The sequence below is a fragment of the Homo sapiens genome, chromosome 8 (assembly GCF_000001405.40).
Source record: "Homo sapiens chromosome 8, GRCh38.p14 Primary Assembly".
Classification (NCBI taxonomy): domain Eukaryota; kingdom Metazoa; phylum Chordata; class Mammalia; order Primates; family Hominidae; genus Homo; species Homo sapiens.
In genome coordinates, this window is record NC_000008.11 from 138911131 (window position 1) to 138921053 (window position 9923).

Genomic DNA, 9923 nt, shown 5'->3' on the forward strand with positions numbered 1-9923 from the left:
GTGGGGGACTCACTCCCTAATGAATCAATCCCTCTTGTCTTTGGAAAGGTCTTCCAACTGAACTGGACTCCAACATCCAGTGAAGCTCCTCCACTCATCCTTTTAGCTGGACCCTCTGGGGACCAAGACAGCAGACCAGCTGCCTCTTCTACAGGGCAGCCCTCCAAATGGCTGGGGCCACTGTCTTCTCTGCACTAGAAGACCTTTCTATGGTAGTATCCTTCCACATAAGCTATGACTTCTATTCCCAGGAAAGCCTGATTTGTCTCCTCTAAATGCACTTCCACTTATCTGTGACCCTCTTACAATGAAATCAGAGAGAGATAACCCTGATCTTCTAACTCAGAGCAAGCAAGCTCCCAGGTCTTCAGAGGCCCTGCAGGTCACACAGATGACAGCGGATGACCAGAGGGCACATGCCTTGTCTAAAGGGGATGGCTAATCCTCACCCCAGCCATGGACAGCCTTGCAGGGATTCCAGCCAAAAGAGAAACCAGAGACTAAGATTTGTAACATGAAATCTCCTGATCATTTTATGTTGGCAATAACTGAAACTACACACAAAGCCTTAAAACTGTCTGTGGACTGCATCCGTTTAGGGGCCATTTACTTAATCATTTTGTAGGTATAAAACCTTTCGTGAATCTGATGAAAGTTTGACCAAACCACAGAAAAACCAGACACAAACTTCTGCTCCAAATGTTTTAAAGGATGCATGGATCCCTGGGAGCCACTCTTGGACCCCAGGAAAGAAAATCCTCATTGGATGCAGCATCTTGTCTAATAAGACAGGCCCAACAATATCAAAGTGACCATTTCCCACAGTTGCGCAGTGCCTCAGTAGCACAGCGACAAGGAAATCTAGAATGAGGTGGGGGTGCTTCCTGCTGAAGCTCCCCAGGTGTGTGAAACAGAAGCAAACTAAGATATATTGCATGCTCACCACGTACCAGATGCCTCTTGTGTTATCTATCTCTATCTCTTCCATCAGCTCCATCAGCAAAAGAGAAAATTGAGGCTCACTGAGGATAGCTGCTTGACCCAGGGCAGCCAAAGAGAGCAACAGAGTTAGCACTGGAAGACAAGACTAGCAGCAAAGCTCACATCCTTCAACTGCAACTTGCATGCAGCTGGGCAGCGTACCCCATGCAGCAGGCCTCTAACAAAAATGAAGCCCTGCAATTTCAAATTTTCCTGGAACCTTTGAACTTAACCAGGAGCCTGAAGATGTGGCCTTCAGCTTTCCATGATTTGCCTGGTAGAAATCATCAATGAGAGACAGATTAGGAGTGAGAAAGACCCACGTAGACATAGGAGTGTCGGCATGGGCCCAGGCGTGGTGGCTCATGCCTGTAACCCCAGCACTCTGGGAGGCCAAGGTGGGCGGATCACCTGAGGTCGGGAGTTGGAGACCAGTCTGACCAACATGGAGAAACCGCATCTCTACTAAAAATATAAAATTAGCCGGGCATGGTAGCTCATGCCTGTAATCCTAGCTACTCAGGAGGCTGAGTCAGGAGGAGAATCGCTTGAACCCGGGAGGCAGAGGTCACAGTGAGCCGAGGCTGCACCTCGCACCATTGTACTCCAGCCTGGGAAACAAGAGTGAAACTCGGCCTCAAAAAAAAAAAAAGTGTCAGGATGGGGCTCTGGAAGATGACAAGTCATGGAATGAAGTTCTGAGGAGGGGGACCCGGCACACAGCTCTGGAACAGGCCGGCAGGCGGTGCCTCCTTCTGCAGATGGTTGATAAGCATGTCCACCTGTCATCCCTGAGTCTTGCCTTGAGTGGGGAGAAGTGAGGACTCATTTTCCAATAACACAGCTAATTCAAATCGTGCTCAATAAAGTGGCACACGAAACTCTGGTCTGCTACAGAACATGATACGCAGGGATTGGGGGAAGGACAAAAACACCTCTCTGACCTAGAGAAGGCTGGGAGAGGGGGGATAAAATGCTCAAATAGAAATGAGATCTAAATTTAGATCAAGAAAGCTAAGTTCCCTGACAGTAAATGTAAAACCAAACGAAGACTATTCTTTCCCCACCCCCTGCTCCATTTCCCCCGCATCTTTTTCTCCTTTTACTGCAAACTTCTTACTTGAAAGTTTAAAGAGCTGGTACATCTCAACTACTTTAAAGTATTATAGCAATCTGAAAACAAGCTCTCGCATTTGACTCTCGGCGGCCATCGCTGAGCTCCTCGCTGCTCAGCTAGAATCAAACAGGTGTGTTCTCACGGATTTGCCGCTATTTTACTCTGAAGTTAAGTCAAGACACAGACACATCTGCTTCCAACTATAGTCACTCCCTAAAGAGCGAAGTGTGCTCAGGCTTCAGAAGGAAACGCGTCTGTATTTGGAGAGAACATCTCCCCAGCCCGCATCCACCCCCCGCCTCTCGTCCCTCACTGTCATCTGGGAAGATGGGCGTCAGCTGAAGTCTGTGACCTTCAGCACTGCAGCAAAGAAGAGAACCCGGGTCTTACCTGGCAGGGAGGCACTCAGGGGTGCCAGCGGAGGTCCAGTCCTGGGCCCAGGCCCACTGGAAGCAGCAGCTGGGAGAAGACACCAGCCCCAGGAATCCTCCTCCTGGGGGTCACCTGTCAGCCACTCGCCCACTCTCCCCCAAATAATCTCACAAACTCAGACTCTAAACAAGACCCGCAGTAAGTGTGGAGGCTTTCCCCAGGCCAGGGGGCCAGAGAGGGAACCAGCTTGAAAACAAGTAACTAAATACATACAGTTAGAAGGAAAGGCTTGAAAGTTACAGAATGAGATAGAAAGTGTGTGAGAAACAGAAGAACAGGGAAAGCGGAGAAGACACTTCCTTGGGGAGAAACGCCGCAGCCTCGGCCAGCCCCGCCACTGCCCAGGAACAAAGCTGTCTGGAGCCTCCCCAGGGGCAAGCTGGCCTCAGCGCTGGGATTCCCCGGCTAAGAGCGCGGGGCTGGGGAGGAGCTGGGGCGGGGGCGGGCCTAGGAGCTCGGGGCGGGAGCGGGCGGGGGCCAAGCCGCGAAGGAGGAGGAAAATCAGGGGGCTGGGAGCGGGGAGGGGCCGGAGGTGCAGGGGCGGACCCCAGAGAAAACGAGAGAGGCCGACGAGGCCCCGGACAGTGGCGAGGGGCTGCGGGGAAAGGTGGGCAGGGACCTCGGGAGGGCTGTGGGGGACTGGACAGCGTTAGGGTCCAGGCAGTAACGAGGTGGCCCTGGGAAGCCCAAAAGAGGGGCTGACAACTTTCTGTCCAATTATAGACTTCACTGATACTCTGCTCCCTTTTCCAGCGGGTCTGAAATAGACCACCGACTAGTGCCGCAGCTGCCCGAAACTTTGGGAAGTTTGGCGCCACCAGGGGGCCTGGGGAGGGGGCGCGCTTGGCTCTTTTTCCAGATCTGAGAGGCCCCCTCCTGTCTGAGCAGGTGAGAGCAGGTAACGCGCACCCCTCTGTGCCAGGGGCTCCACCTACAGGCAGCCCTGTTCACTGGCTGTGACTTCAGCTCTGAGGACAGGGGCATCGCGTCCTTCTTTTTGGGATGAGGACAGTGAAGCCTCGGAGAGAGCCTTTATAGTCTGCCAGCGCCCCCAGCAGAGCAGGGATATGGGCCCACGTTGGCCTGATGAGGACACTCGCCTGGCTAATGGGCTTTCCAGCCCCCAAAGGCAGACCATGAACAGGTGCAGGCCCGGGGCACCCTTCTACTTTTTCTTTCTGAGCACTGTTCCTAAAAATGGGCCAGGCAGGAGTATTTTGAACTAGATGAGAACATGGTTTAATCTGTGTGACCTCCCCCACCCCCAGCTCCCAATCTGTCTCCTAAACTCTGGGGTGTCTTTATTTGGTTGCCTGCTGGGTAGCAACGATTTCATAAACAGGCAGTATCGGGCTCCTCTGTGACCCAGGGAGCTCAAAAATCCAGCTGCTTCCTCCCTCTCCGGTCTTGTTTTCCAGCCACTCTTGTGGAAATTCATTTCACATGTGTTGACTGAACCCCACCACCCTCACCATGTCAGGTGCCCATCAAGTAGAAGAGAGGGCTGGCCGTATCACGAGAAAGGTGAGGGGCTGAGATGGGTGCTTGTCAGTTACCAGGAGGGCGGGACGCAGAGAAGAGAATGATTGCACCTGCGAGAGCCCAGCGCGTGCGCCTCTGGGCACACTAGTGTCAGAGGCATTGAACCAGAGCAACTCCATCTTGAATAGGGGCTGGATAAAATGAGGCTGAGACCTACTGGGCTGCATTTCCAGCAGGTTTGGCGTTCTTGTCACAGAATGACATAGGAGGTAGGTACAAGACACAGGCCACAGAGGCCCCACTGATAAAACAGGTTGCAATAAAGAGGCTGGCCAAAACCCACCAAAACCAAGATGGTGACCTCTGGTCATTCTCACTGCTGATTATATGCTGATTATAATGCATTACCATGCTAATAGACACTCCCACCAGTGCAATGACAGGTTACAAATGTCATGACAACGTCCAGACGCTACCCTATGTGGTCTAAAAGTTTCCCTCAGTTCTGGGAAATCCCCTCCCCTTTCCCAGAAAACTCACTAATAATCCACCCCTTGTTTAGCATGTAATCAAGAAAGAACTATAAGTATATCTGGTCGAGCAGCCCGTGCCACTGCCCTGCCTGCAATAGCCATCCTTTTGTTTCTTTACTTCCCTAATAAATTTGCTTTCACTTTATGAACTTGCCTTGAATTCTTCTCCTGGAGTCTGGATTGGGATCCTTTTCCGGTAACACTAGTGGGAACACAGACAGAAAAGAGGGATGAGACCACAACATTAAATTACAATAAGTTATAATAAGTGCTATGAAGAAAAAAAAAGATGAGTCAGAGAACAAAGTAAGGGGTGCAAACCCTATATTCAGGGCTAAGGAGAGGTGTGCTGAGCAGGTGGAAGACTGAAGAATGGGCAAAGCCACCATGCAGAGGAGGAGGCCCTGGAATCAGGGCTGGAAGGGGAATTGGGAGCTCACCAGGCAGAGGGAAAGACTTGAGCCCGTGGAGAGTCGAGTCTCCTGTGCCCTGGGACCTGTGGAGGGCCATGGCCAGGGACAAGGCTGGGTGAGGAGCAGGGCACAGATGAGGGGGCTGGCAAGGCCTGCTGAGGGGACAGACTTGGTCCTGAGGACCAGGAGTCACAGAAGTGCCTTAGAGGGGCAGGAGCATGGCCAGGGCAGGGCCTTGCAGAGCCTGCTGCCAGTGGCACAGTTGGGAGGTGGTAGGGGAGGTGCGCTGGGAGACTACTCAGTTGAATAAGTTCTGGAACGTCAGAGAGAGAGAGAACTAGCATCATCTCCAGGTTCAAGGTAGAGCCTCACCAGCACATACTTGTTGACACAGGTAAAATGAGGTCTCTAAAGTAAAGGGAGATCAGAAGGGAAATTGAAGTTCCAGCCATGCGTGACCCCAAGGGCTTTTTTCCCCGTTTATTTTAACATTTGTTAAGAACCTACTAATGTCAGACATTGGGAGTGCAAAGCTGGATAGAATATAATCCAGACCCCAAAGGAAACAAAAGTCTGGAGGGACAGAATCAGCTTTTAAAACCAAGGAAATATACATCAGCCACCGTTCCAGCAACTGGACTGCAGGCATCCTACCATGGCTAATGGAATCTCAAGGGCTCTGAGCTCCCAACTGCCCAGTTAAAAAAACAAAAATCCCTCTGCAGAAGTCCCCTCTACGGTTTTTCTGGGACTCCTTGGTGGGCTGGAAGGTGGTGGTAGGGACTTGACTGTGAAGCCCAGGTGGATCCCCACAGGGCCTCTTTACAACTGAGCTGCTCTTTTTGACCCAAGCTACCTTCATTGGCCAAAGTTACAAGACCTGGGAATCTGCTAGCTGCTCTCAAATCGCGTATCTCCGTGAGAGCTTCACCTCCGGTTTCACAGTGAGAAGAAAGTTGTCCCTGTGTGACTCCCAGGTGGGGACCCACATTGAGCAGTCTTGGACCTTGTTTTCATTTTCTGTTGCTACTGTAAAAAATTACCCCAAAGTTCTGTGCTTGAAACAACATAAATGCATTATCTTGCAGTTCTGGAGGTCAGGAGCCCAAAATGAGTCCTACAGGGTTAAGATCAAGGTGGTGGCAGGGCTGAGTTCCTCCTGGAGGATGCAAGAGATAATTTGTTCCTTGCCCCTCTTCCAGCTTCTAGAATTTTTTTTCTCTTTTTCTTTCTTTCTTTCTTTTTTTTTTTTTTTTTTTTTGAGATGGAGTCTTGCTCTGTCGCTGAGGCTGGAGTGTAATGATGCGATCTCGGCTCACTGCAGTCTCCACCTCCCGGGTTCAAGTGATTCTCCTGCCTCAGCCTCCTAAGTAGCTGGGATTACAGGCACCTGCCACCACTCCCAGCTAATTGTTGTATTTTTAATAGAGGCGGGATTTCACCATGTTGGCTGGGCTGGCCTTGAACTCCATTTTTTTTTTTTTTTAGCCTTGAACTCCTGACTTCAGGTGATCTGCCCACCTCGGCCTCCCAAATTGCTGGGATTACATGCATGAGCCACCATGCCCAGCCCAGCTTCTAGAATTTCCCCACTTTCCTTTCCTTGTGGCCCCTCCCTGCATCACTCTGACTTCTTGCTTCTGTTGCCAGAGCTCCCACCACTGCAGTTAAATCTCCATCTCCCTCCTTATAAAAATCCTGGTGATGAGATTGGGCTTACCAGATGACCCAGGAGCATACCCCATCTCAAGATCACTCACTGTCACCTGCAAAGTTCCTTTCACCATGTAAAGGAACACGCATATTCACAGGATTTTGAACCTGAGCATCTTTGAAGGCTAGAGTTCAGCTTACCATAGACCCCAAAGCATTACAGCCTAGTGCCAGCTATTTCGCTTCCCACATGACCCGCTTTATCCCTGGATGCAGGGCGCCATAGCAATGGCTGGAGAGGAGCAGGCTCCGTGGTGGTCATTTAGCATGTGCCAGGCACAGGGGATATGACAACAAGAGGAACTAACGGGAACTTCATGGGGCTTGTGTACCACCCGTGGGGGTGATAGTGATTATACAAAACATTGTGTCATGGACATCCAGGTAGTTACAAGGAACAGGGTTAAACAGAGATGCCTTGGGTTGCTCCTGTTTTAGACAAGGTAGGGGCAAAGTCTGGGAAGACCTCTTGGGGGAGGTGTCCTTTCAATAGAGACTTAAATGAAATGAGGGCAGACGACACGGGGAGGACTGAAAGGGAGTATACCAGGGTGGAAGAGCCAGGGCAAAGTCTTCACTGAGAAAATGAACTTGGCACATTTGAGGGGCAGCCACAATAGGGTCCCCAAAACAGCTTCTCCCTTCTGATGGCCCTTGTGATCTAGCACAGGTCCTGGCTCTGGGAACAGAATTTGCTCTCCACCACGAGCCCCTGCACTGCCACTATCCATGGCCCAGCACATGCCACTCCCTGCAGCTCCCAGCCTGAGCTGGGACTGCCTCTATCTGAACCACCCACCATGGTGGACAGGGCTAGATCTTCCCCACCACACACCCCACTCCAGGCAACCCCTCAATATCCAGCCTTCCCATCTGCTGCTGCTGGGAAACAGGGATAAATGCCTCCACCGGTTGGAGAAGCACAGGTGAGCCTGTGTAGACAGGTGGGCTCCTCCCCACCCTACAGCACCTGCCTTCACACCTGAGTGCACAAGCTTTAGGGAGGTGGCAGGACTAGGGGCGCATACACAGCACTGGCTCCCAAACCCTTCTCTCTGCTGCTTCCCAAAACCAAATCTCTTCATGAACATGGATCCACAGCTCTGGAGACATCATGCTCTACCACAAAGAAAGGCATTAGGAGGCATTCGCTTTGTTCTTCCATCTCTGCAACCAGCAACCACGAGGCTGGGCATGGATTCTGGAAAGACAATTCTTAAAATCACTCTGCCTCACTTCCTTCCCCTTCTGGACTGTTTCTTTGCCAGGATGACACATTTCTAAGATGTATTCAACAGGAACAGAAAATCTGCATATATATCATTACACACACAAATATGTGGATATGCGTTTAACAGAGAGTAAGAAAATGTCCCCATATGACTTAATTCTTTTTTCATTTCTACCACTCATTCTATCACTGTGATCATTAATGTCACAGGTAAATAGCAGAATAACTTTCAGGTAATTGCCAGTCATGATTTATATTTCTCTGTGGAAATAGAAACCTGTCTGTATCCATCATGAGTCGCCTCTCCAGGGTTTCCCAAGGCCGCAGTCAAATGTTGGCCCAGCTAAGTCTCCTTCTGAAGTCTCTGGGGAAGAATCCATTGCCAAACTTCCTTAGGTTGTTGGAAGACCTCATCCAGTTCCCTGCCACTGAGGAACCAAGGATCCTGTTTTCCTGCTACTTGTCAGCGGGGAGCTGCTCTCAGCTTCCAGAAGTCACCCTCCTACTGCAGCAGCCCCAAGGATAGCTGACTGCTGACAGTGTCCTCATCCAGGCCACTGGAGGCTGCTCTCTTTTCTTTTATTATTTATTTATTTTTTTTTTATTTATCTTTTTATTTTTTTTTGAGACAGAGTCTCACTCTGTCACCCAGGCTGGAGTGCAATGGTGCAATCGTGGCTCACTGCAACCTCCGCCTCCCGGGTTCCAGCGATTCTCCTGCCTCAGCCTCCTGAGTAGCTGGGACTACAAGCACATGCCACCACACCTGGATAATTTTTGTATTTTTTAGTAGAGAATGGGGTTTCACCATATCGGCCAGGCTGGTCTCGAGCCTCTGACCTCGTGATCCACCCGCCTCGACTTCCGAAGTGCTGGGATTACAGGCACGAGCCACCGCGCCCAGCTTCTCTTTTCTTTTTCTGCCTCATACCACCAGCCAGAGAAAGTTTTCAGCTTTTTGGGACACATGTGATTAGATTTTGCCTACACAGTAATCCCCCTATATTAAGGCCACTTGTGCCATAGAGCATAACACAATCACAGGGTGGAATCTCTTTACATTCTAAAATTCTAGTGGTTGGGACAGGGTATTCGTGAGGGCCTGCCAACCCTTTTAAAAAATTCTCACTTATTGAACTTTTGTATTCTTCTTTTTCTTCCTTCCTTTATTTATTTATTTTTGAGATGGAGTTTTGCTCTTATTGCCCAGTCTGGAGTGCAATGGTGCGATCTCGGCTCGCTGCAAACTCCGCCTCCCTGATTCAAGCGATTCTCCTGCCTCAGCCTCCCAAGTAGCTGGGATTACAGGCATGTGACACCATGCCTGGCTAATTTTGTATTTTTTAGTAGAGACGGGGTTTCTCCATGTTGGTCAGGCTGGTCTCGAACTCCTGAGCTCAGGTGATCCACCCACCTCAGCCTCCCAAAGTGCTGGGATTACAGGCATGAGCCACCATGCCCGACCTCTTCCTTTAAAAAAACAAACAAACAAAAAGAAAACAAAAAACTGTGTTTTCTGCCTTTGAATTTGACTTTAATAGCTATGAAGACAGTAAATACATCATCTTGTTCACTGCCATACCTCCACACCTACCTTGGTGCTTGATACATGAAAGGTGTTAACAGTATTTGTGAAATGTTTGAATAAATGAGCAAAAGAATGGCTGGGCATAGTGGCTCATGCCTGTAATCCCAGCACTTTGGGAGGCCAAGGCAGGTGGATCACCTGAGGTCAGGAGTTTGAGACCAGCCTGGCCAACATGATGAAACCCTGTCTCTACTAAAAATACAAAAAAAATAGCCAGGCATGGTGGGGGGTGCCTGTAATCCCTACTCAGGAGGCTGAGGCAGGAGAATCGCTTGAACCCAGGAGGCAGAGGTTGCAGTGAGCCAAAGTCACGCCACTGCACTCCAGCCTAGGCGACAGAGTGAGACTCCGTCTCAAAACAAACAAACAATAAAAGAATGAATGGCAGAGAGAAAGCCTCACTCTAAATGACTCACACAGGTCCGGCCTATCG

At 50.2% G+C, this 9923-nt stretch overlaps 1 protein-coding gene across 10 annotated transcripts in view, besides 1 other annotated feature; it reads right to left on the bottom strand.

The window, feature by feature from the left end:
- The window catches only part of COL22A1 (collagen type XXII alpha 1 chain), a 325807-nt gene extending 322896 nt beyond the window's left edge, over positions 1–2911 (bottom strand). For all 10 annotated transcript variants that reach the window (XR_001745487.2, XM_017013150.3, XM_011516886.4 and 7 more), the window contains exon 1: positions 2489–2911. The gene's annotated coding sequence lies outside the window, so the exon portion shown is untranslated. The remainder of the gene's footprint in view (positions 1–2488) is intronic.
- Positions 2012–2857: an enhancer, noted in NCBI's record as "H3K27ac-H3K4me1 hESC enhancer chr8:139925385-139926230 (GRCh37/hg19 assembly coordinates)". NCBI's record gives its function as "activates a minimal SCP1, AML or CMV promoter by ChIP-STARR-seq in naive and primed H9 embryonic stem cells {active_cell/tissue: H9 hESC(naive and primed)}" and the evidence as "EXISTENCE:reporter gene assay evidence [ECO:0000049][PMID:30033119]".